General features: G+C 45.6%; 1 protein-coding gene and 1 pseudogene across 3 annotated transcripts in view, besides 1 other annotated feature; both read right to left on the bottom strand.

Annotated features, from left to right (window-relative positions):
* The window catches only part of PIN4 (peptidylprolyl cis/trans isomerase, NIMA-interacting 4), an 82,289-nt gene extending 64,179 nt beyond the window's left edge, over positions 1–18,110 (bottom strand). The window contains exons 1-4 of one of the 3 annotated variants that reach the window (NM_006223.4): positions 17,958–18,029; positions 13,252–13,325; positions 2,882–3,001; positions 1,446–2,418 (exon numbers count right to left, since the gene is read on the bottom strand). In NM_006223.4, the coding sequence (NP_006214.3) occupies positions 2,260–2,418; positions 2,882–3,001; positions 13,252–13,325; positions 17,958–18,000 (396 nt within the window). In that variant the 5' untranslated portion in view covers positions 18,001–18,029 and the 3' untranslated portion in view covers positions 1,446–2,259. Of the gene's footprint in view, positions 1–1,445; positions 2,419–2,881; positions 3,002–13,251; positions 13,326–17,957 lie in introns of those variants that run through there. The other 2 variants (NM_001170747.1, NR_033187.2) reach the window with 2 other exon arrangements.
* RN7SL388P (RNA, 7SL, cytoplasmic 388, pseudogene) lies at positions 736–1,074 on the bottom strand (annotated as a pseudogene).
* Positions 17,770–17,989: an enhancer, noted in NCBI's record as "active region_29755". NCBI's record gives its function as "activates an Ori minimal core promoter by ATAC-STARR-seq in GM12878 lymphoblastoid cells {active_cell/tissue: GM12878}" and the evidence as "EXISTENCE:reporter gene assay evidence [ECO:0000049][PMID:35858748]".

Genomic DNA, 27,338 nt, shown 5'->3' with positions numbered 1-27,338 from the left:
AGGCTAGCTATAACTGCTCTCTCTCCATACCACAGAATTTAGTTTGCTTTTTCTAGTCCACCTTTCAGCACTCTCGCTTCTTTCCTTTGTGGTGACATCTGTGCAATAGGTATTCACTTAGTATCCTGGGCAAGTCAATGTCCCAAGCAAAGGACTCTAGCTTGGTAGTGTCTCATGCCTATACAGCTCTTCAGAATTTACTGCCCTTATTTAGACACATTGTTTTATTTTATTTATTTTATTTTATTGAGATGGAGTCTCGCTCTGTCGCCCAGGCTGGAGTGTAGTAGCATAATCTCAGCTCATTGCAGCAGCCACCTCCTGGGTTCAAGCATTTCTTGTGGCTCAGCCTCCCAAGTAGCTGAGACTACAGGTGTGCACCACCACACCCAGCTAATTTTTGTATTTTTAGTAGAAACGGGGTTTTACCATGTTGGCCAGGCTGGTCTTCTTAAATTCCTGACCTCAAGTGATCCACCTGCATCAGCCTCCCAAAGTGCTGGGATTACAGGCATGAGCCACCGTGCCCAGCCTAGAGACATTGTTTTTAATGTAGTTTTCAAAGTACACGTAGGCAGGGTGCAGTGGCACTTGCCTGTAGTCCCAGCTACTAGGGAGGCTGAGGCAGAAGGGTCATTTGAGCCCAGCCTCAGCAACGTAACAAGACCCCATGTCAATAAATCATTAAAAAAAAATCAATCAATAACATGTAGTTTCAGCTTTAAATTTTTTTTTAGACACGGGGTCTCACTGTGTTGGCCAGGCTGCAGTGCAGTGGATATTCAAAGGTGCAATCCCATTACTAATCAGCACCGGAGTTTTGACCTGCTGAGTTTCCAACCTGGGCCAGTTCACCCCTTTTTAGGCAACCTGCTGGTCTTTCACTCCCAGGAGGTCACCATGTTTTTCTTTCTTTTTTTTTAAGAGGCAGGGCCTCTGTTGCCCAGGCTGAAGTCTGGAGTGCAGGGGGCATGGTCATAGCTTACTGCAGCCTCGAACTCCAAGGCTCAAGTGATCCTCCCACCTTGGCCTCCTAAAATGCTGGGATGATAGGCCTGAGCCACTGTGCCCAGATGAGGTCACTGTATTGATGCTGAACTTAGTGCTGACACCCGATTGGCATAGGACACTACAGCCCAGAACTCCTGGGCTCAAGTGATCCTCCTGCCTCAGCCTCCCAAGTAGCTAAGACTACAGGCGCACACCACTGGGCCCAGCCATAGTTTCATCTTATATCTATTTGAACTTCTCTGTATACACTGGCATATCTGCTCCGTGGGGAAAATCTCATGGAGGCATAACCTACTGAGGTGCTCAGAAACTCTTCTCAAGTGGGAAAGTCAGGTATCTAGGTAAAGTTCCCATTATATAAGTGGGTATAATATCAAATGCAGCTGAGGGAGAGAAGGCAGTGTGTTAAAATAATCTGTTAAGAATCACATAGCTGTGTTGGCAAAGTTTTATTTTTGAAGCAGTATAGTATTTATATTAGTAATCTTTATACTTTTTTATATGTCATAAATATGGCATTTTAAATTTTAAAAATTTAGATGCACAGAACATTGGCCCTGGAAAGGACAGTCTTAATGTAACCCATACACTGAAGATGAGGGAATGACATTTTTATGCTGACATCCCTCCCTTTAACCAGCACTCGGTTAGTCTAGTACAAAACAACTCATGGAACAACTGAGTGCTTTTTTCCTCCAATAAACATTTATTTAAAAAGAAAGGAGTTAACACTGAAAGGCATAACGTGCCACGTACTATGTTAAGACAGTGGAGCTAATACCACCTGTCCTGGAAGATCAGAGTTGACTAACATGTAAAACAAATGTTGTCTAGGAACTTATTTTATGATTCTCACACACTAATCTATTTGATGCCCAATATTTTCAGTTGTGTGAATAGTGTGAGTTGATATCTGCTTCCCCTGAAGATGGTTTCTGAATTAATTTATGGGACAGACTGAGAGTCAGATATAGTTCTGGGAGGAAAGAGAATACAGGTTAAAGGGAGTCTGCTTGACTTCTCTTTGAGAAAGACTGACTGAATACCTACTACAGTTGACATTCACTTAGCCCCACCCTCTCTTACACCTACAAACCCATACTTAGAGCTTTCACAGAATACAAGGAGCATCCAATATCTTTTCTTTTTAAAAATTTTTGTATTTCCTTGCAGCTCCAGCTCAAAAGAATATGTAATACCTTTTAAAGAAACAAAATGTATAAAACTTATTCAGTCTTTCATATGATTTTATTTTCTTCCTTCGACCATAATAATATGATATCCAAATTTTGTCTTAACCGGTGGGTCTGTAAACACAGGCTTATCCATCCCACTTACAGGCAAGGCAAATGCTGCTTCTTGAAATGGTCCCACCATGGACCCTCTGGTCATCCAACCCAAGTCACCCTGAAAAACCCAAAAGATAAGTGATATCAAGTGGCCCAGAAGAGGGAACAGTTCTACTGTAGCTTGAGAGAATTTCCCAACATTTTGCTAAGGTTACGAGGTATATTCCTAAGAGCAATACAGGAATAGGCTCAATAAGGACAAATAGGTAGAAGAAGTCTAACTAGACTGAACACATAAGTACTCTCAACACTGCTGGACTTTGAAGTTAGCCGTGCAAGTTTGGTCATGCATAGGTTTTGACATAGATGACCCTTATTCTACTATTTACAAGTTGGACATTTCTGCTTTTGAGATCTTTAAACCAAAATATCGCTACAACCAATGGTTGAACAAAGGAATGATCCCTACTTCTGTGTTTCTTCTGTGGAGGATGGAGAATTTTTATCTTATTTTATTATTTGTCATTTTTACTTTGCTTTCTTACCTTGAGAGAAAATTATAAATAATAAGAGCAACATACCCCTTGCCTGGCTTTATCTTCACTATACTGTGCGGCCACTTCATTGAATCTCATCCCAGACTTTAACTTTTCCATGGCTTCCATGATTTTGCCATGTTTTTCACATAGAATGTGTCTGACCTGCAAGGAAAAAGTACATTCATGTAATACTTGGAGACCCAAATGACTCCTTAAAGTACAGTGGTTACATTTGGATTACCCCCACCAGTTAAAAAAAAAACACATTAGTTCATAGCAAGTAAAAATCCTGGAAGTTTGCCCAGGACAACAACCACAATCCCATTCCCCATATTAAGACAATGTCTCAGAGTCCTGATTTAGATGGAAAATAGGCACCTGGCTGTGGGAAGCTCCGCCTTTTTTTTTTTTTTGAGAAGGAGTCTTGCTCTGTCACCTAGGCTGAAGTGCAGTGGTGTGATCTCGGCTCACTGCAACCTCTGCCTCCCGGGTTCAAGCAATTCTCCTGTCTCAGCCTCCTGAATAGCTGGGTTTACAGCTATGTGCCATCACACCTGGCTAATTTTTGTATTTTTAGTAGAGATGGGGTTTCTCCATGTTGGCCAGGCTGGTCTTGAACTCCTGACCTCGTGATCCACCCGCCTTGGCCTCCCAAAGTGCTGGGATTACAGGCGTGAGCCGCCGCTCACGGCCGGGAAGCTCCCATCTTTTACCATATACCTTCATGCTAACAGGAGGAGGAAACACGATACGGGTTGAGAGCTGTGGTCCTAGAATCAAATCCCAACTCTGCTGTATGAACTTAGGCTTTATTTATTTATTTATTTAGAGACGGAGTCTCACTCTGTCTCCCAGGCTGGAGTGCAGTGGTGTGCTCTCAGCTCACTGCAACCTCTGCCTCCCGGGTTCAAGCAATTCTCTTGCCTTAGCCTCCCGAGTAGCTGGGATTACAGGCACCCATTACCACGCCCAGCTAATTTTTGTATTTTTAGTAGAGATGGTGTTTCACCACGTTGGCCAGGCCGGTCTTGAACCCCTGACCTCAAGTGATCTGCCCGCCTCGGCCTCCCAAAGTGCTAGGATTACAGGCGTCAGCCACCATGCCTGGCTGAACTTACGCATGTTTTTAAACCTCCAAGTGTTTCTCCATTTGTACATCAAGATGCAATGATAACGGGACCTATGTGTTCTCATAGGATTGTGAAGATTGAGATAATGCAGCTACCATTGACCAACGGCTAGCTATTATTTCATCAGAGTGAGGATAAGAAAAAACCTGCTAGAAAGTATTTCTATCTTTTTTTTTGAGACAGAGTCTCCGTCTGTTGCCCAGGCTGGAGTGCAGTGGCCCGATCTTGGCTCACTGCAACCTCCACCCACGGGTTCAAGCAATTCTCCTGCCTCAGCCTCCCAAGTAGCTGGGACTATAGGTGCGCACCACCACGCCCAGCTAACTTTTTGTATTTTTAGTAGAGATGGGTTTCACTGTGTTGGCCAGGCTGGTCTCAAATTCCTGGCCTAAAGTGATCTGCCCACCTCAGCTCCCAAAGTGCTGGGATTACAGGTGTCAGCACACCGTGCCTGGCCAGGAAGTATTTCTTACTAAAAGAGACCCAATGTATAAGCCTCCCCACAATTCCACACTTTGAAAAGGTATCATAGGTTGAATATTAAGAACGCCCAACCCTACTGAAGTATTCAAATTTGACCTATGTTTACATAAAGCCATGGATTTAAAAAAACACTATTATCCTTGAAAATGATTTTGTCAAGATAGCTGTTTCGCAGGATTTCTCATTTCACATTCAAATAGAATCACTTATAGTCACGCGTCACTTAACTACAGGGAAACATGAGAAATGAGTTATTAGGCAATTTTGTTTTTGTGCAAACATAACACTGTACTTACACAAACCTAGATGGTATGGCCAGCTACATATCTAGGCTATATGGCATAGCCTATTGCTCCTAGGCTACAAACCTGTACAGTATGTGACTGTACTGAATACCATAAGCAACTGTAACACAATGGTTTAAGTATTTGGGTATCTAAACATAGAAAAGGTACAGTAAAAATATAGTATAAAAGATAAAAAATGGTACACTTATATAGGACACTTTACATGAATGGAGCTTGCAGGACTGGAAGTTGCTCTGGGTGAGTCAGTGAGTGGTGAGTGAATATGAAGGCCTAGGACATTACTGTACACTACTGTAGACTTTTTTTTTTTTTTTTTTTTTTTTTGAGATGGAGTTTCGCTCTTTTGCCCAGGCTGGAGTGCAATGATGCGATCTTGGCTCACCGAAACCTCCCCCTCCTTAGTTCAAGTGAGTCTCCTGCCTCAGCCTCCTGAGTAGCTGGGATTACAGGCATGCACCACCACGCCTGGCTAGCGGCTAATTTTTTTTTTTCTGAGACGGAGTCTTGCTCTGTCGCCCAGGCTGGAGTGCAGCAGTGCGATCTCAGCTCACTGCAACCTCCCTCTCCCGGGTTCAAGTGATTCTCCTGCCTCAGCCTCCCTAATAGCTGGGATTACAGGCACGCGCCACCACACCTGGATAAGTTTTGTATTTTTAGTAGAGATGGTTTCGCCATGTTGGTCAGGCTGGTCTCGAACTCCTGACCTCAGGTGATCCGCTTGTCTTGGCCTCCCAAAGTGCTGGGATTACAGACATGAGCCACCATACCCGGCCTAATTTTGTATTTTTTGTAGAGACGGGGTTTCACCATGTTGATCAGGCTGGTCTCGAACTCCTGACCTCAAGTGATCCACCCGCCTTGACCTCCCAAAGTGCTGGCATTACAGGCATGAGCCACCGCACCCGTCCCCTACTGTAGACTTTATACACACTATACATGTAAGCTACAATTTATAAAACACTTTTCTTTATTCAATATTAAATTAGCCTTAGGTTATTATATCTTTTTAACTTTATACATTTAAAAAATTTTAAACTTTTGGACTCTATTTAATAACACTTGGCTTAAAAAACAAACACATTGTGCAACTGTACAAAACTATTTTCTTTCTTCATATCCTTATTCTATAAGCTTTTTTCTTTTTTTTTTTTTTGAGATGAAGTCTCATTCTGTCATCCAAGTCGGAGTGCAGTAGCACAATCTCAGCTCACTGCAACCTCCGCCTCCCAGGTTCAAGCGATTCTTGTGTCTCTCAGCCTCCTGAGTAGCTGGGATTACAGGCGCGTGTCACCACGCCAAGCTAATTTTTGTATTTTTTGTAGAGACAGGGTTTCACAGTGTTAGCCAGGCTGGTCTTGAACTCCTGACCTCAAGTGATCTGCCTACCTCAACCTCCCAAAAATGTTGGGATTATAGGTGTGAGCCACCACGCCCAGCCACTATAAGCTTTTTTCTATTTAAAATTTTTTTTTTTAATTTTTAAACTTTTTTATTAAAGACTAAGACACAAATACACACACTAGCTTAGGCCCACACAGGGTCAGGATCATCAATATCACTGTTTTCTACCTCCATGTCCTGTCCCATGGAAAGGTCTTCAGGGACAATAACATGCATGGGACTGTCATCTCCTATGATAATGCCTTCTTCTGGAATACCTCCTGAAGGACCTGCCTGAGGCTGTTTTACAGTTAATTTTTTTTTTTTAAGAGACAGCTTCTAGATTGCCTCCTTGTTTCTGCTTCCATACTCACAAAGTGATTGTCTGATACAATTCCTGGGAAAATGTACACTGCATTCGTGGTCACAGATAGGGGATACCGTCCACCATTTTATAAATGAATAAACGAGTATTCTAGTTTAGACAGTGCGACAAAGAGTTTTTCATTCCTGTGGGGTCTGCAAGTGTGACCAACGAACTGGCAACAGTGCAGCTGTGTCTTGGAGAGCCAAGCTACAGAAAGAGTTTGGGAGTGATGACTATGGAGGTGGCAGCTGAAGTGTGGAATTCATGAGGTTACCAGGAAGGAGATGAAAATGAGAAGAGGAGGAAAGAAAGCTAAAGTAACCTTGGAGACTATCAATGTTCAAGCAACAAGTAAAGAACTCAAAAAGTGTAATAAAAAGGGGCGAGGCGCAGTGGCTCACACCTATAACCCCAGCACTTTGGGAGGCCAAGGTGGGAGGATCCCTTGAGGATGGGAGTTTGAGACCAGTCTGGGCAACATAGTAAGACCCCCATCTCTACAAAAACTTTAAAAAAAATTAGCCGGGCATGGTGGTGCACATCTGTAGTCTTAGCTACTCAGGAGGCTGAGGCAGGAGGATCACTTGAGCCCAGGAATTGAAGGCTGCAGTGAGCTATGATCATGCCACTGCATGTCATGCACCCCGGCCTGTGTGACAGAGCAAGAACCTGTCTCTTAAAAAGAAAAAAGAAAAAAGCATAATAAAAAGGAAAGGCCATATAGGTAGGAGAGAAGCGTGTGCTAACAAACCAAGGCAGGAGAGAGTTTCAAGGAGGAAATGGTCAACAAGGGTTAAGGGTTGCAGAGACATCAGGTAAGAAGTATAATACATTGTGCAATGATGGAACAATGATCTCAGAAAAAGGAGTTTCAGAAGAGTTTAAGTGCAGAAGCCAGAATACAGCAGGCTGACTGAGGAAACAATGTCAAGTGGGAGGGTAATTCAAACAAACTAACTTTGTTTGAAAAGGAGAAAGGGCTCTGGCTAGAGGCAAAAAGTGGAAGACATGTAAATACGAAATTTACACTGGGCGAGGTGGCTCAGGCCTGTAATCCCAGCACTTTGGGAGGCAGAGGTGGGCGGATCACCTGAGGTGAGGAATTGGAGACCAGCCTGGCCAACATGGAGAAATCCCATCTCTACTAAAACTACAAACAATTAGCCGGGAGTGGTGGTGGATGCCTGTAATCCCAGCTACTCGGGAGGCTGAAGCAGGAGAATCGCTTGAAACTGGGAGATGGAGGTTGCAGTGAGCCAAGATCGCGCCACTGCACTCCAGCCTGGGCAACAAGAGTGAGACTCCATCTCAAAAACAAAAACAAAAACAAAAAAACCCACGAATTTTAAAGGTCCCTGGGCATATTTTCGGAATGAAGGGAAAGACCTAGGAAAAAAAAAACCGGTTGAAGACAGAACAAAAAAGAGGGTAGAGATAAATGAAGGAGCAAGGTTTGGTATTCAGAACACGGTTTGAAAAATTAGCCTTAAAGGAAAAAAGGTGAGGAGGTAACTTTGTTGCTAGGGGGCTGAAAGCCAATGAGTTCCTGACAATGGGTCTGGTTTCCACTTTCTTGTTAAAATAATAAAAACATTTAAAAGTTGATGAGTACTTATCTCATTAAATCCTCACACTAACGCTGTGAGACTAGATGAGTGTTTCTTAACCCTGGCAGCATATTAGAATCACCTCCAGAAATTCTAGAAAAGTTTTTCGTTTTTGTTTTTTGAGATGGAGTCTCACTCTGTCGCCCAGGCTGGAGTGCAGTGGCGCAATCTCAGCTCACTGCAACCTCCGCCTCTCGGGTCCAAGTGATTCTCCTGCCTCAGCCTCCCGAGTAGCTGAGATTCCAGGCGCATGCCACCATGCCCAACTAATTTTTGTATTTTCAGTAGAGACAAGGTGTCACCATGTTGGCCAGGCTGGTCTCGAATTCCTGACCTCAAGTGATACACCCACCTCGGGCTCCCAAAGTGCTAGGATTACAAGCATGAGCCACAGAGCCCAGCCCTTCTAAAAAAGTTATCAAAGTCCAGGCCCCCCTCCAAGAGATTCTGATGCAGTTGGTCTGGGATGAGACCCTAGGCACTCGTATTTTTTTAGGCGAATCTGATGTACGTCTAGGGTTGAGAACCATGGAATGAAGTTCTCTGTTGACTGATGGGAGTGGGGTGGTGGATGGCTACAGGTGGGCGGTAAAGGATTGCTGAGCAGCACTGAGGGCCTAGGTAAAGTCAGAGACCAAGTATTAGTAGTCCCAATCCCCAAGGCTGTGTGACTTTCCAGTAGGGCCCAGCAGTTCTGGGGAGCTTTTTTTTTTTTTTTTGAGATGGAGTCTCGCTCTGTTGCCCAGGCTGGAGTGCAGTGGTGTGATCACGGCTCACTGCTACCTCTGTCTCCCAGGTTCAAGTGATTCTCCTGCCTCAGCCTCCCGAGTAGCTGGGATTATAGGCACCCGCCACCACACCCGACTAATTTTTGTATTTTTAGCAGAGACGGGGTTTTACCATGTTGGCCAGGCTGATCTTGGACTCTTGACCTCAGGTGATCCGCAAGCCTTGGCCTCCCAAAGTGCCAGGAGTACAGGCATGAGCCACCGGCGCCCGGCTGAATTTTTCTTTCTTAAGTAACTGTTTCAAATTTGAGCCAAGCTACTGAAATAAGTTCATCTATAAGCAAATATAATACTCATATTGGAATTATTAGTAAATACTTTATTTACATACTTATTAAAAATCAAGTATTAATATTTAAGTTGCCCCCAGCTAGACGTTTTCAAGGAAATCTTTTCTTTTCTTTTCTTTTCCTTCCTTTCTTTTTTATTGATGCATAGTAGATGTACAGTTTCAAGGTAATGCAATAATCTAATACATTCATATAATTGGTAAAGATCAAATCAGTATACTTGGAATATCCATCACCTTAAATATTTGTCTTTTCTTTATACTAGAACCACTCGAATTCTTCTCTTCTAACTATAGATCTAATTTTAAGTGCATAGAAAGTAGACCATTGGATTGATCCTGAGTAGCAGGGAGGTGGATGCAGGGAGGTGGCCAAAAGAAAAACTGGACCTCCTCAATCCAATGATCAAGCCCTTAGGCCTAATTTTGAGTGTGCAGGGGATAGGAAAACAAACATGAAGCCTAGGAGAAAGTGGGGAGATTAGGGTGGGCTTGAGGGCTTGGGGGTCTGTGAGGAGAAGAACAGAGGAACAGGATTGGCGGAGGCAGGAAGGGAAGGGGAAGGAGGGAAGCTGTGGTCAGTGGATGGGTCTCAGAATCTGCAGAGCTTATAGCGACAAAAGGGCAGGGTGTGGGCACAGGGGTGGGGTCTGAAGCAGAATGACAGAATGTGAAAGGAGCTGAACCCTAAAAGGCCAGAGGGTCCCAGGGTCCCTCACCGACTGGTGCCTTCAAAAAACACTTGAAACAACCCAGCTGTCCTTCAACAGGTGAATGGTTCGACATACTACAGCACTTCCACATCATGGGATACAGGTTGAATATCATTTATCCAAAATGCTTGGGACCAGAGTGTTTCGGATTTGGGAATATTTGCATTAAACTTACCAGTTGAGCATCCCTAATCTGAAAATTCAAAATCTGAAATGCTATAATGAGCATTTACTTTGAGTGTCATGTCAGCGCTCAAAAAGTTTCAGATCTTACAGCATTTTGTATTTTGTATTTTTGGATTAGGGATACTCAACTGGTACTATTTAGCAATACAGAGGAATAAACTATTGATAAACAAAACCACCTGAATGAAATCTCCAGCGAATTATACTGGGTGAATAAAACCAATCCCAAAAGGTTACATACTGTATTATTCCATTCATATAACATTCTTGACATTATAAAGTTACACAAATGGAGAACAGATAAGTTGCTGCCATGGGTTAAGAGGGCAGAGGTGGGGCAGGAGGGAAGCGGGTATAGTTATAAAAGGCCAAGAGGAGGGATCCTTGTAGTGGTAGGATTGTCTGTATCTTGACTACATCAATGTCAATATCCTGTTTGTGCTATTGTACTATAGTTTTGTTAGGTGTTACCATTGGGAGAAACAAAGGAATACGTATTATTTCTTTTCCTTTTTCTTTTTTTCTTTTTTAGAGACAAGGTCTCATTCTGTTGCCCAGGTTGGAGTGCAGTGGCGTGATCCTGACTCACTGCCGCCTCAAACTCCTGGGCTCAAACAATCCTCCTACCTCAGCCTCCCAAGTAGCTGGGACTACAGGCACACACGACCATGCCCAGCTAGATGTATTATTTCTTAAAACTGCATGTGAATCTATAATTATCTCAAAATAAAAGGCTTTATAAAAACAAATTTAACCCTAATCTACTTTCCTAGTGAATAACGTGCCACTCCTTTCCATATATCTCATGAGTGGCCACATTGAACTTATTTTTTTTCCAGAGAGGGTAAGGTGCCTCTTTAAAGCCACATGCACCAGGTGTGGTGGCTCATGCCCCTATAATCTTAACACTGTTGGAGGCTGAGGCGGGAGGATCGCTTGAGGCCAGGAGTTCAAGACCAGCCTGGGCAACATAGCGAGACTCCATCTCTACAAAGATAAAAACAACAAAACAAAGTTTTTAAAAAATTAGCTAAAGCCGCCAGGCACGGTGGCTCATGCCTGTAATCCCAGCACTTTGGGAGGCCGAGGCAGATGGATCACCTGAGGTCAGGAGTTCAAGACCAGCCTGGCCAACATGGTGAAACCTCATCTCTACTAAAAATACAAAAAACTAGCTGGGCGCGGTGGCGGGCACCTGTGATCCCAGATACTTGGGAGGCTGAGGCAGGACAATCGCTTGAACCTGGGAGGCGGAGGTCGCAGTGAGCCGAGATCGTGCCATTGCACTCCAGCCTGGACAACAAGAGTGAAACTCCGTCTCAAAAAAAAAAATAAAAAAAAGTAGCTAAAGCCATATGCAGTGCAACAGTCTCTTAGGTTAGATGCTTGTGAAAACATATTAGGTGAAAACTGCATATAGCCAAAATTACCCTAGAATATCCCTTTATGAAGATGTCATATGGGAGACCAGCATGTCAGCTCTCATTTAAGCCCAGACATAGCCAGGAACGCTGTACTCCGTTTGTAACATGAAGTAACTGGGTTGTATTTAGGGGCTATGTTTTATGAAAACTTATCTTTGGATACCAGAACCCCACTTCACATGATTGGATGCTCACACAAGAATTCAGGGCAACTATAGAAAAGCAGGTGCATGTCTCTCATCTCTCTCTCTCTCTGTGGGGCATAGGTTCATTGAATAGAAGAGTGGGCAGAACAGTCCACACCATTTACATGATCTCTCTTTTTTAGGCTACACATGTATGGCTGAATTTATATGATGCAGTTCCACTGCTATGCTTATCATACAGCAATGAAATACATATCTTTACCTAACTGCTCCCAAGTAGCCTGTGATAACAAGGACCATCTCTTACTTTTTATTTATTTTTTTGAGACAGGGTCTCGCTCTGTTGCATAGGATGAGTGTAGTGGCACAATCATGGCTCACTGTAGCCTCAAATTCTCGGGCTCAAGCGATCCTCCCACCTCAGCCTCCTGAGTAGCTAGGGCCACAGTTGTGCACCACCACGTCTGGCTGATTTTTTATTTTTACTTTTTTAGTGACAGGGTCTTGCTATATTGCCCAGGCTGGTCTCAAACTCCTGGGCTCAAGTGATCCTCGTGCCTTGGCCTCCCAAAGTGCTGGGATTACAGGAATGAACCATTGTGCCTGGCCCATCTCTTACTTTTTTATTAAATAAATACATGATAAAAAATCCCCAGAGCCTAATACATTGCTTGGCACAGGGCAGATGTCACTAAGTCCTTACTGAATGAATGAATCAAAGTACAGCCTCCCATATCCTGACTAAAACATGGAAATTGCCTTGTTACATAGCACTTACTAGTTTGCAGATTAAATTTTCTCCCAGCAGATACTCCTCTGGGGCTAGGTTAAGTATTTCAAGTAATTATTTGCTGATTTTCTCCTGCCCCCATTTTCATGGTCAAGACCCTGGTTTGTGGCTCACCAGTGGGGAAGCTTTCTAAAGAGACCTGCACCCTTGCCTGTTTATTCAGCAGAGGACTTTTAACACTTATCTAATCTCTTGGTTTTATAAAATATTATTTTGTCCTAAGAAATAACTCAATTACTGGGAAGATCTAACTTAATGCATTTTAAGGAACAATACTAAAAAACTATAAAGAAATTCTGGGTATCTGAGAAAGTACATGACAAAATATTTAAAGGGAATTACTTTTCATAAGCAAGACTGGTCTATATTTTCCATTTTTTTAAAATTTATTTTTATTTATTTATTTTTTTGAGATGGAATCTTACTCTGTTGCCCAGGCTGGAGTGCAGTGGTGCAATCTCAGCTCATTGCAACCTCAGCCTCCTGGTTCAAGCGATTCTTGATTCTCGTGCCTCAGCCTCCCAAGTAGCTAGGATTACAAGTGTACACCACCACACCAGGCAAATTTTTGTATTTTTAGTAGAGACAGGGTTTCACCATTTTGGCCAGGCTGATCTGCCTGCCTTGGCCTCCCAAAGTGCTGGGATTACAGGTGCGCCCAGCTACAATTTTGTGTTATTTTGATTTTATACCAGTGTTAGGCTAGCCTGTTAGAATGAGTTAAGCATTCTGTCTTTTATGTGTACTAACACATAAACAGAATTTATATTTAACATGGAAAAAAAGGAACCAGTAACTCACCTTTACTGCATTGCCACCACCTTTGGGACCTTGAGCCTTCTTGTCAGCACTGTCACTCCCAGAGGCTGCTCCCCCTTTAGAGAAGAGATGACAGGTACTCATTTAAACTGCACCTCCATGTTTACAGAAAGGTCCAACACACAACCGGAGTGGATATTTCCATCATAACGCCACACTTCAAAAGGGAACTCGGCCAGACACTTTACAACAAGGGTATCCAACCTTTCAGCTTCCCTGGGCCACAATGGAAGAATTATCTTGGGCCACACAAAATACGCTAACACTAATGATAGTTGACAAGCTAAAAAAAAAAAAAATCACAAATAAAAATCTCATAATGTTTTAAGAAAGTTTGCAAATTTGTGTTGGGCTGCATTCAAAGCCATCCTGGGCCGTATGCAGCCCGTGGGCCGTGGGTTGGACAAGCTTGCTTTACAACATCAAGCTAAATTAATCTGACCCATCTTTCTTCAAACAGGAAATCTGTGCCCTATATAAACCCTTCACAGAAAATGGATACACAAATGAGTGTGCTAATAGGTGAATGAAAGCTCCGGAAGCCTGGCCCAGATTCTTTGCATCCAATTTAACACCCTGCCTTCTGAGGGCAGACTCCTAAGTTCTTGTAAGAGTTCTATCATGTACCACAACTATGTGTTCAAGCATCACAATTCCAGTAAGTAAAATCTCTAAGAATACATTTTTTAAAAAGATCAAATTTCCCACTACCCATTTTTGGCTAAAGAATACATTCATGTCCAAATTTCTAGAGTCTACTACATTGCCTATTGATGTCTTCCTAGAACCATTAGCAGCATCTTACATTTTACTAGTATGTCATTTTACTACTATGGTAACTTCTGTGTCAATGGCAGCCTACATACTGCTAGAGGCTGATGTTCCTAAGAATTACAGTTGAATTAAGGGCTCAGTTCAATAAACATTTCCTATACAACTACTGAGTTCCAGGCACTGGGAGTACAAAGATGAACAAGCCATGTACCTTCCTTCAGAAAACTCATATTCTAGTGAGGAAGACGGATCATTTCAGGAGAATGCAGGAGATGCAGAGATGGTTATGGACAGGGGGCTGTGGAAGCACAGAGGGACACTGGAGCCAGCCAGGGAAGGTTTCCTGGATGAGTAGGAGCTGGTTAGCCAAAGAAAGGATGAGGAGACACTCCAGAATGGGGGAAACGACATGGTATGTGTAAGAAATTGTATGGATGAAGCCAAATCTGAGGTGGGAGTGCACTCAGATGAGCCTGCCTGAGGGAGGTAGCTGAGGGTCAGGGCATTGAGGCCTTTTGGCCCCATTAAGGAGCTTGGGACTTATCCTAGACGTAATAGGGAGCCATTGAAAAGTTGTTTTTTTTTTTTTTTTTTTGAGACGGAGTCTCGCTCTGTCTGTCGCCCAGGCTGGAGTGCAGTGGCGCGATTTCGGCTCACTGCAAGCTCCGCCTCCCGGGTTCATGCCATTCTCCTGCCTCAGCCTCCCGAGTAGCTGGGACTACAGGCGCCTGCCACCACGCCCCGCTAATTTTTTTTGTATTTTTAGTAGAGACAGGGTTTCACCCTGTTAGCCAGGATGGTCTCGATCTCCTGACCTCGTGATCTGCGAGCCTCGGCCTCCCAAAGTGCTGGGATTACAGGCGTGAGCCACCGCGCCTGGCCGCCATTGAAAAGTTTTAAGCAAGAGTCTCCATCTTGCTTGTCTTAGTATCTCCAAGCCTAGCACAATGCCTGGCACACAAAAGGTGTTTTAATAAATGTTTGATTAAACTGAAAACCCCAAATACTGACTACCAAAACCCTAAAAAAATGTTACTGCCAAAGGAGTGTTATTAAATCAAACTCCTAACTGGGTTTGCTATAGATCCATTCTTGAATGATGATGCCTTCCAGTTATCCCATCCTCTTCCCTGCTGGATGCTGTCATCTTCTGACTGCCACCTCACTGCCTTTGATTTCCTGACGACTCTGGCATCAGCTTTGGGCTTCCTCTCCACCCTCACTCCTGCCATTACCTTGAGTGACCTCACCATCTATCTTGGGGAATCTCAGTTCTAGGTCTCTTTCCCGAATGTCATGCTCTCTACTCCAAGCTACCTGCCCCGGGGGCACACGATGGAACTGTGCCACTCAGAACTAGTTCAGTCTCTGGCTATAACCTCCTGTTCTTCCAGCTTCCTCATGTCTCATTCCCACAATACTTGCTCTTTAACTTCACAGAACCTCTCCCTTGACCCCAGTCCCTTCGTCCTGCTACATTCACCTAGGCCACCAGACTTCTTTTTCCCTTCCCACTCTGGACCCCATGTTCCTTCATCTGAACTGCATTCCCACTGGCCCTTGTAATTCCCTGGTGTTGCTATCCTCCTATCATAACTGCCTAACAAAACCTCAACCATGGCTTAAGGCTGCACCTAGCTCTTTTCAATCCTATATTGTGCCAATTGCATAGTACTAGGTAAATCAGACTGTGAAGATTATGTAGTCTACAAATTCATGGCCTTTGATCTTAGTCAGGCTCCTAGCCCTGAAGGCACTTCTTTTGTGTTTCATTCCCTCTTCCATTACGATATTCCAGACCTTTACCACTCTCCTCAAGATGCCTACTGAGTCCCTGCCCCTCCATCTCCTTTCCTATGACCTCAAGCATAAGGTGTCCCTGCTCCCCCTAGGTCCTGGATTCCATTTTCTCCTAAATCTCACTCTTCTGTACCTTTACCTCTTTTACTTTACTGGATCCTTCAGCTTCACTCCCAAGTTTTCCCCATTCCAAAGAAGCAAAGAAAATAAAACTTTCTCTTAATCCTCTGTCCTTCTCTATCTACCATCCCATTTCCATGCTTTTCAATTAAAACTTTCCAAGAAGTCCAAATTACCACTTCCCAGTCAGTTCTCTAGTCACGGTAATCTGGCTTCTGTTTCACTGAAACCACTTTTACCCAAGGCCACCTCTAATTTCCAAATCTGCTGTTCTTGATAGACTATACCCTCTCTCTTTAAAACATTCTGGTCTCTCCAGCCTCTGGCCACCATTCTGCACTCCCTCTATCTGTCTGCCTCTTTCTCTGCCTGTCCTAGGATCACATCCTCTGCTCTCTGCTCTTTTCATTCTATAAACTCTCCATGGATAATTGCATACACTCTAATGGGCTCAACTACCATCTATAAGTTAGCGACTCCTAAAACTTACATGTACAGTCTAGACCTCTCCCTCAAACTTTAGACTCAAATATCCAACCACTTCCTGACTACATCTCCACTGAGATGTCCCACAGACACCTCAAAGCCAATCTATCTGAAAGTGAATTCATCAATCTCATCCCCGCTCCTCATGTATCCTTGATGTTACCCTGCAGGACCAGCAACAGGTTAGAAATCCAATCCAGAAAACAGAATGATCGTTGATCCTCCCTCACCACCCCTCCCCAACCCAATAAATCACCAAGTCTTGACTATTTCACATCCTAATATTTACAGAATCTTTTCTCTTTTCTCAGTTCCCACAGCCACTCCCTTAGGTCAGTCCACCATCATCTCTCACCAAGACTACCACAACAATCTCCTTACAGGTCTTTCTGATCCTTAACTGTCCTTCTTAGCAGAATATATAGCACTCTCCATGATCTCGTCTTTGTTTCTGTTTTCATTCTCACCACTTGCCATTCTGCCTTGAGTTTTTGCTCCAGCAACACTACGCTGCACACATCATGCTGTTTCTCACCTCAGTGCTTTTGCTGCTGGACCCCAAGTAAGGAATGCTTTAACCTACCCTCAATGCACATCTTGACCTGCCTAATTCATCTCCAGGAAGTCTTCCGTTCCCTGTTCCCCAGCTAAATGAAGGACTTCCCTCAATTTCTATTATATCCCATACACATCCCTCAACACTACATTTAGTACAGTGCTTTATGATCACTAAGCCTTTATCTTCCTCACTACTTCGGGAGCTCCTTAAGGCCAAAATCTCTTTTTTTTTTTTGAGACAGAGGCTCGCTCTGTCGCCCAGGCTGGAGTGCAGTGGCGCGATCTCGGTTCATTGCAACCTCTGCCTCCCGAGTTCAAGCGATTCTCCTGCCTCAGCCTCCCGAGTAGCTGGGATTACGGGCGCGCACCACCACCACGCCTGGCGAATTTTTGTATTTTTAGTAGAGACGGGGTTTCGCCATGTTGGCCAAGCTGGTCTCGAACTCCTGACCTCGTGATCCATCCTCCCTCGGCCTCCCAAAGTGCTGGGATTATAGGCGTGAGCCACCGCGCCCAGCCTTCTGTCTTATTTGTGTATCCTCAGCGCTTAGCACTCTGCCTGACACATTTCTGTTCAATGGATGAATGATTCCTTCCCCGATGGTGGGCATGTCATTCTGTAAGCATTAAAGTGAACTTTAAGGACCATAACCAATGTGTACTTCCTATTGCTGGCTTTTGATAAGACCCAATTTTAGAGCTCTAATAACCCCTTGAAATAGCAGCCCTAAGTCATCGCCTCCGAGGAACTATCCCCATCAGATTCCATTACCCACTAGGACGGTCCCTGAACCGTAGCCCAATGTATTCCTACAGATGTAATCGATGGCAGCACTGTGGGGCCACTGGCTACCTGCTGCGTCCGTCCCGGACTCCGGAGATGGACTGTCTGTTCCCTCCCTTCGCTCCTCACCCGCCCCCATTCTCCTTGATCGCTCTGGCCGCTCTACCTTTCCCCGCTTTTCCAGAACCACTTTTTCCTTTGGGCGGCATCTTGGAAGCTTGTTGTTGAACGCTGAACCGCTCCAGTTGCCGTACAAGCCCCTTTAGAAGCCCCGCCATGGGCATGTCCTAAACAAATGCCTGAAAGCCGCATCTCAATTGACCGTTCTTATTGCGGCTCCGGAAGCAGGCACAGCTTGGGGCAGACCCCGTCCTTTGGCTCTTGGACCAATGGGGCTGAAGATGTCTGACCAATAAGACGCTTGGGCCGAAACAAAGGCAGAGGGGCGGAGACAAAGGCCGGATTAGGGCGGGAAGCCTGGCCTCTGCGCTTTTTGTGACTTCTTTCACGCACCCTAATTTGCACCAGATCCCCCACTCCCCACACTCTACGCCCGAAGCTCCCCCGTTCCCCTCAACCTGGCTTTTTTCACGCGTGCGCAGTAGGAGCCACGGGGGTGGGTGGCTCTGCAGTCCCTCGGCGCCAGCTCTGGCCAATCCCGCGGGGCCGCCAGACAAAGGGAAGCAGGAGTACTGTGGTGGCGGCCAACTTCCGCTGTCTCCTCCTACACACAGGGCTGCCCTCCCTGGCAGTTTTTCGTTTGTTAATTTTATTCTGCAGTTGTAGCTAATTAGGTTCAAAAGGTAGTTTTTAAAAAAGCCTGTCACCTTTTTGCGTCTTGCAGAGCTCAGTCATGGAGAAACATTGGAAGCAGTCTGAGTGCTCCTCAGTCGGGTACTGCTTAAATAATGTTTTAGCCACACAAGAAGATATTATACAACATTCAAAATAACGATTGTAAGGCTGTGTGTACAGATAGGGGAAATGTTTTTAAGACCAAGATAAAGAATATGATTCCTTGTAAAAGAAGTATATGTAATGTATTGTATGTTATATGAATATAAAGGAGAGGAAAGCTATAGAGCAAGATGTGGCCAGTGGTGCTAGTGCATACAGGTCATCGTGTTTGTTTCTGTGTATTTTCCAAAATTTCCATAATGGTGCAGCATAGTGTAGTAAAAGCATGGATTCTGGAGCCAGATTGCCCAGTTTCAAATCCCTGCTCCACATCTGTCTACTAGCTCCATGACCTTGAGGAAGTTACTTCACCTCTCTTTGGCTCAGTTTCATCATCTGTGAAATGGAGTTGATGATAATAGTACCTACTATTATCCTATCAGGTGTTAAGAGAATTAAACAAGTTCATATCTGTAAAGCACATAAAATGATGGCTTGCTCATATTAATAATGTTTGCCTAAGATAAATGATTTTTGAATTTGTGCCCACACACTTTTTCTCCCCTTACAATCCCTCCCACCATCAATAATTTGTATATGATATGTCAGGGCGTTTCCTCCAGTCCATGAGAGAGCTGTCCTAGCTTGCCACTACCAGCCAGAATATAGAGGTCTTCCAGCTCAGAGTTTAGTTTTTGGATGCAGCCTTGCTGGACCTGGAGATGCTTCATGCTCATACCAGGGAATCAGGTGTTTCTGAGACTGTGCTCATTCCCTACTCAAGACATAACATGGAGCCCTCTTATGTTTGGCTGCTTTAAATTCTGGACACATTTTGGGCACTCCTTGTTTTCGGATTGGGAGTGATCAACTGCGGAGGACACATCTAGTGGTGAGGGGATCATTGCTCTGCCACTTCTGAAGTGGATCCCGCACCTGTACTAATTCTCCAAGTTCGGCTGCGAGATGGAGGGGCGGGGGAGTTGGGATTGGGTGTTGACGATGACAGCGTAGCCTTGTGTTCATCAGGTTATCTATGGCCAAGAGGCCCAAGAGGAACATTTACTTTTGATTTTTCTTTCTTTTTTTTTTTTTTTTATTTTTTATTTTTTATTTTTTTTTTTTATTGATCATTCTTGGGTGTTTCTCGCAGAGGGGGATTTGGCAGGGTCATAGGACAATAGTGGAGGGAAGGTCAGCAGATAAACAAGTGAACAAAGGTCTCTGGTTTTCCTAGGCAGAGGACCCTGCGGCCTTCCGCAGTGTTTGTGTCCCTGGGTACTTAAGATTAGGGAGTGGTGATGACTCTTAACGAGCATGCTGCCTTCAAGCATCTGTTTAACAAAGCACATCTTGCACCGCCCTTAATCCATTTAACCCTGAGTGGACACAGCACATGTTTCAGAGAGCACAGGGTTGGGGATAAGGTCACAGATCAACAGGATCCCAAGGCAGAAGAATTTTTCTTAGTACAGAACAAAATGAAAAGTCTCCCATGTCTACTTCTATCCACACAGACCCGGCAACCATCTGATTTCTCAATTTTTTCCCCACCCTTCCCGCCTTTCTATTCCACAAAACCGCCATTGTCATCATGGCCCATCCCCAATGAGCCGCTGGGCACATCTCCCATACGGGGTCGTGGCCGGGCAGAGGGGCTCCTCACTTCCCAGTAGGGGCGGCCGGGCAGAAGCGCCCCTCACCTCCCGGATGGGGCGGCTGGCCGGGCGGGGGGCTGACCCCCCCACCATCCTCCCGGACGGGGCGGCTGGCCAGGCAGAGGGGCTCCTCACTTCCCAGTAGGGGCGGCCGGGCAGAGGCGCCCCTCACCTCCCGGACGGGGCGGCCGGCCGGGCGGGGGGCTGACCCCCCCACCTCCCTCCCGGACAGGGCGGCTGGCCGACCCCCCCCCCGCCTCCCTCCCGGACGGGGCGGCTGGCCGGGCAGAGGGGCTCCTCACTTCCCAGTAGGGGCGGCTGGGCAGAGGCGCCCCTCACCTCCCGGACGGGGCGGCTGGCCAGGCGGGGGGCTGATCCCCCCACCTCCCTCCCGGACGGGGCGGCTGGCCGGGCGGGGGGCTGACCCCCCCCACCTCCCTCCCGGACGGGGCGGCTGGCCAGGTGGGGGGCTGACCCCCCACCTCCCTCCCGGATGGGGCGGCTGGCCAGGCGGGGGGCTGACCCCCCCACCTCCCTCCCGGACGGGGCGGCTGGCCGGGCGGGGGGCTGATCCCCCCACCTCCCTCCCGGACTGGGCGGCTGGCCGGGCGGGGGGCTGACCCCCCCCACCTCCCTCCCGGACGGGGTGGCTGCCGGGCGGAGACGCTCCTCACTTCCCAGACGGGGTGGCTGCCAGACGGAGGGGCTCCTCACTTCTCAGACGGGGCGGTTGCCAGGCAGAGGGTTTCCTCACTTCTCAGACGGGGCGGCCGGGCAGAGACGCTCTTCACCTCCCAGACAGGGTTGCGGCCAGCAGAGGCGCTCCTCACATCCCAGACAGGGCGGCGGGGCAGAGGTGCTCCCCACATCTCAGACGATGGGCGGCCGGGCAGAGACGCTCCTCACTTCCTAGATGGGATGGCGGCGGGGAAGAGGCGCTCCTCGCTTCCTAGATGGGATGGCGGCCGGGCAGAGACGCTCCTCACTTTCCAGACTGGGCAGCCAGGCAGAGAGGCTCCTCATATCCCAGACGATGGGTGGCCAAGCAGAGACGCTCCTCACTTCCCAGACGGGGTGGCGGCTGGGCAGAGGCTGCAATCTCGGCACTTTGGGGGGCCAAGGCAGGCGGCTGGGAGGTGGAGGCTGTAGCGAGCCGAGATCACGCCACTGCACTCCAGCCTGGGCACCACTGAGCACTGAGTGAACGAGACTCCGTCCGCAATCCCGGCACCCCGGGAGGCCGAGGCTGGCGGATCACTCGCGGCTAGGAGCTGGAGACCAGCCCGGCCAACACAGCAAAACCCCGTCTCCACCAAAAAAAAAACGAAAACCAGTCAGGCGTGGCGGCGTGCGCCTGCAATCGCAGGCACTCAGCAGGCTGAGGCAGGAGAATCAGGCAGGGAGGCTGCAGTGAGCCGAGATGGCAGCAGCACCGTCCAGCCTTGGCTCGGCATCAGAGGGAGACCCTACTTTTGATTTTTCGTTGGGAAGAGCCTTTCCTGTGACCACTGGCTATGGCAGTTGTGAAGTAGGAATGAAGCAAACTAGAGTTCCGATCCCAATGAACAGCCAATGTCTGTCAATGGCTGATGTGCCTAGCAAATGCTTAGTGCCTGGAACACTGTGAGAGCTCTGTGCATTCCAGCAGATAATAACAGCAACAATGATAATAAGCCTGTGTCCATGGCTGCATTTTTCAAGCAAGACTGAAGGCCAACAGCTCCAAGGGGAAAAGAATGGGCATAGGCCTGCTGGAGGTTTCAAGGTCAGGAGCACTTTAAGACAGATCTCAACTATGCAGTATGATTACAAAAAGATGGGGCAGGTATTAGGATACAATTTTAAGTATTCTGAAATGTGAGTTTAACTTTCATTTTCTTCAGTTTATATTATATTCTATCACTTGACACTTATTTTTTATTCAAGAGAAAAAGACAATAAACGTAATTTGAAAAGCAAATCATAGAAAAGCCAGCTTCTATTCAGGGTTAAGTCTGCACCAGTCTATGGAGGCAGACTGTGGAGGGGTCTGTGGAGCAGAGTGACAAATTAACTGAAGAGAGAGGTCAGGGGGAGAAAAGAGGAGAAAAATTCAGCCTTGAAACTATGGTAACATCTGCTGGAGTGTGCACTGCGACTCAGCCAGCAATGGCTGCCAGTTGTATTTTCTACTAATTACCTCATCAGGTTCATTCTTTTATGCGTTACTTGAGGAAAATCAGGAAGAGAAGCTGGCAGCCCTCTTCCCAGGACAGAGGTTCACAGACCTTGGCCCAGACTCACACACTGCCCCACCTGACCTGCTCCACAGCCAAAGAACCACAGTTTCTTTCCTATTTGGGATCCCAGCAGAGCTTATTCTGCAGGGGAAAGCTTGAAGCAACAAAACACAGAGATCTAGTTGATCCCATTCATAGATGGTCATTGCATAGGCAGCTCTAGGCCCCAGACTCTGGGAACAAGGACAGGAAAAGGTCATGTTTGGAAAATGAAGACAGGAAAAAAATCAGTACATAGTGGATGAAATCAGCCACCTATAAAAATAACTACTCTTCGTGGCAAATGGACATAGGTATTAATATTAAATATATTGCTGATATGACTGATGTGTCTCCGTGAGTCCAGTCCGTGGCCAAATAATTTTCTTTTTTTAAATATTATACTTTAAGTTCTAGGGTACATGCGCACAACATACAGGTTTGCTACATAGGTATACATGTGCCATGTTGGTTTGCTGCACCCATCAACTCATCATTTACATTAGGTATTTCTCCTAATGCTATCCCTCCCCCAGCCCCCCACCCCATGACAGGCCCCGGTGTGTGATGTTCCCCGCCCTGTGTCCAAGTGATCTCATTGTTCAATTCCCACCTACGAGTGAGAACATGCGGTGTTTGGTTTTCTGTCCTTGTGATAGTTTGCTGAGAATGATGGTTTCCAGCTTCATCCATGTCCCTGCAAAGGACATGAGCTCATCCTTTTTCATGGCTGCATAGTATTCCATAGTGTATATGTGCCACATTTTCTTAATCCAGTCTATCATTGATGGACATTTGGGTTGGTTCCAAGTCTTTGCTATTGTGAATAGTGCCACAATAAACATACGTGTGCATGTGTCTTTATAGTAGCATGATTTATAATCCTTTGGGTATATACCAGTAATGGGATTGCTGGGTCAAATGGTATTTCTAGTTCTAGATCCTTGAGGGATCACCACACTGTCTTCCACAATGGTCAAACCAATTTACACTCCCACCAACAGTGTAAAAGCCTTCCTATTTCTCCACATTCTCTCCAGCATCTGTTGTTTCCTGACTTTTTAATGATTGCCATTCTAACTGGCATGAGATGGTATCTCGTTGTGGTTTTGATTTGCATTTCTCTGATGACCAGTGATGATGAGCGTTTTTTCATGTGTCTGTGGGCTGCATAGATGTCTTCTTTTGAGAAGTGTCTGTTCATACCATTTGCCGACTTTTTGATGGGGTTGTTTTTTTTTTCTTGTAAATTCGTTTTGAGTTCTTTGTAGATTCTAGATATTAGCCCTTTGTCAGATGGGTAGATCGCAAAGATTTTCTCCTATTCTGTAGGTTGCCTGTTCATTCTGGTGGTAGTTTCTTTTGCCGTGCAGAAGCTCTTTAGTTTAACTAGATCCCATTTGTCTATTTTGGCTTTTGTTGTCTTTGCTTTTGGTGTTTTAGTCATGAAGTCCTTGCCCATGCCTATGGCCTGAATGGTATTGCCTAGGTTTTCTTTTAGGGTTTTATGGTTTTGTGTCTAACATTTAAGTCTTTAATCCATCTTGAATTAATTTTTGTATAAGGTGTAAGGAAGGGATCCAGTTTCAACTTTCTACATATTAGGCTAGCCAGTTTTCCCAGCACCATTTATTAAATAGGGAATCCTTTCCCCATTTCTTGTTTTTGTCAGGTTTGTCAAAGATCCGATGGTTGTAGATGTGTGGTATTATTTCTGAGGCCTCTGTTCTGTTCCATTGGTCTATATATCTGTTTTGGTACCAGTATCATGCTGTTTTGGTTCCTGTAGCCTTGTAGTACAGTTTGAAGTCAGGTAGCATGATGAGTGGCCAAAGAATTTTCTAACCCACTTCATACTAGGTAATGAAGCTTTAAGTGACTGGTTTTTCAAAAAGGACTTCAGAGAAGAAGGCTCCATCTGTGTTTGTCCAGCATTATCTAAGCAAAAGAACTACAGTTTCTGGAAGACCTTACTATACCAGTATCTCATGAGGTAGATTTTGTTTTTTAGAGGCAGTGTTCACTTAAGACAGTGGAAAACAACCAACACAAATTGCACACGTACTATGAGCCAGGAGCTTTCCCTTCGTGATCTCTTTTAGAGTTCACAACAGCCTTATTTGGAAAATATTACTATTGCCATCTTTTTTTATTTTTATTTTTTCGAGACAGAGTTTCGCCCTGTCACCCAGGATGGAGTGCAGTGGCACAATCTCGGCTCACTGCAACCTCCGCCTCCTAGATTCAAGCAATTCTCCTGCCTCCACCTCCCGAGTAGCTGGGACTACTGGTGCCTGCTACGATGCCTGGCTAATTTTTGTAGTTTTAGTAGAGACAAGGTTTCACCATGTTGACCAGGCTGGTCTCAAACTCCTGACCTCAAGTGATCCGCCTGCCTCGGCCTCCCAAAGTTCTAGGATTACAGGTGTGACCCACCCCACCCAGCTCTATTACCACCTTAAAGCTGAAGAAATAGGGTCAGAGAAGTTAAGAAATGTGCCCCAAGTTTCACAGCTAGCTAGGGTCTGTGGTAAGGTTGGGCAACGAACTCGTCTGTCTGACTTCCAAGTTGGTACCCTCTCCATGATGCCATGCTACTCCAGGCTTTGCCATCCCCTAAATGAAATCTAAGAACATCCAGTTCTCTTTTTTCTGAGAGCATGTTCACCAAATCAGCCCTCCAGGGACCTTGAGGCATTTAGGGACACTGTGCAAGAGGCCACAGGGTCAAGTTATACCCCCAACATGGGACATAAATAAGCTTTGGTTTATGCATCAGTATGTTATTATGAGTAACCTGGAATGTGCTCTCCTCTGCCTGCGGTGCTGGACCTTCCAGGCTGCAGAAGCACAGAGGCAAGGAGAAGGAACATAGTATGGGTGGGGGACAGTGGGCAGGGTACTGTAGACAAGGAAGAGGGGAGCTGCTGGGGAAGAGGTCTTCTGCATCCTCAGCCTTGGGCACTGGTCTCCATGTTCAGTGGATTCTGCCTCCTAAACAACACTTCTCCCTGCCCCCCATAATTTTATGGTGAACAGTGAACATTTTGCTAGATTTGCTTTATCACATATTCACCCATCAATTTTTCTTATTTTTGTTGCATTTCAAAGCAAGTTACAGACATCAGCACACTCCATCCCTAAACACTTCAGTTGTCATAATGTTAACTAGGAGTCACTAATTACCTCTGGCTTGTCCCCTGCCCTCCCCGCCACTGCCATAGCCTTCTGCATATTCTCTAGACCATCGGAACATTGATCCCTCTGCTGCCAGTTTCACCTTCTCTTCAAACTACCTTCTGCGGCATCTCAGAGGGAGCTCTTAGAAACACAGAACTGATACTGTGACTCTCCCAGTTAAGACCCTTCAGTGACTCCCCATTGTCTGATAGGACACTATCTCACTTTGTAACCTGGAGGCCCAGGGCCCATTATACTGACATCTGCAGCCTCATTTCTTGCTAGTCTCCACTGGGCGCAACCATATAAAGTTACTATTTACAGGCCCTATCTTAAGACTCCATGCTGATCTCTCTCCCTGGAATGCTTTCCCTTATTTTTGATCTGGCTAATTCTTATTTACCTTTCAAGACTGAGCTCAGATGATACCTCCTTCCTGGAAGCCTTCCCTGACTCTCTTCTTTTTCCCAGGCTGGGCTAGACACTCCTCTGTGCTCCCGAAGTACCCTATGCTTATCCCCAACGATGTATAATTTCTATTATTTTAAATTTGTAAAGTTTTGTTTTATGGCCCATAATGTGGTCTATCTTGGTAAATGCGTCACATGTACTTGAGAAGAATAGGTACTCTGCCGTTGTTGAGTGGAAGGTTTTGTACATGTTAGTTGGATCCTTTTGGCTGATGGTGCTGTTGAATTCTTTCATATCCTTCGTAAATTTATTTTTGTTGTTGTTTTTAATTTATTCATTTGGCCTTTTTTGCCTTTTTAAAAGTTATTATTGTTATTATTATTATTTTGAGACACAGTCTCGCTCTGTTGCCCAGGCTGAAGTGCAATGGCATGATCTTGGCTCACTGCAACCTCCGCCTCCCAGGTTCAAGCGATTCTCCTGCCTTAACCTCCCCAGTAGCTGGGACTACAGGTGCGAACCACTATACCTGGCTAATTTTTTGTATTTTTAGTAGAGACGGGGTTTCGCCGTGCTGCCTAGGCTAATCTCGAACTCCTGAGCTCAGACAATCCGCCCGACTGGCCTCTCAAAGTGCTAGGATTACAGGTATGAGCCAATGAGCCTGGCCTAAAAAATTATTATTATTATTATTATTAATTTATTTATTTATTTTTTGAGACGGAGTCTGGCTCTGTTGCCCAGGCTGGAGTGCAGTGGTGCCATCTCGGCTCACTGCAAGCTCCCCCTCCCAGGTTCACGTCATTCTCCTGCCTCAGCCTCCCGAGTAGCTGGGACTACAGGCACCTGCCACCACGCCTGGCTAATTTTTTTCTGTTTTTTTTTTTTTGTTTTTTTTTTTTGTATTTTTTAGTAGAGACGGGGATTCACCGTGTTAGCCAGGATGGTCTCGATCTCCTGACCTCGTGATCCGCCCGCCTCAGCCTCCCAAATGCTGGGATTACAGGTGTAAGCCACTGCCCCCGGCCTAAAAAATTATTTTTAATTGACACATAATAATTCCACATATTATGGGGTACAGTGTGAAATTGCTATACCTGCATACTATGTATAATGATCAAATCAGGTAATTGGCATATCTGT

This window comes from Homo sapiens, chromosome X (assembly GCF_000001405.40).
Source record: "Homo sapiens chromosome X, GRCh38.p14 Primary Assembly".
NCBI classification, from domain to species: domain Eukaryota; kingdom Metazoa; phylum Chordata; class Mammalia; order Primates; family Hominidae; genus Homo; species Homo sapiens.
Note: the sequence above shows the minus strand (reverse complement) of the source record. Positions and strands in the feature narration are given on the sequence as shown.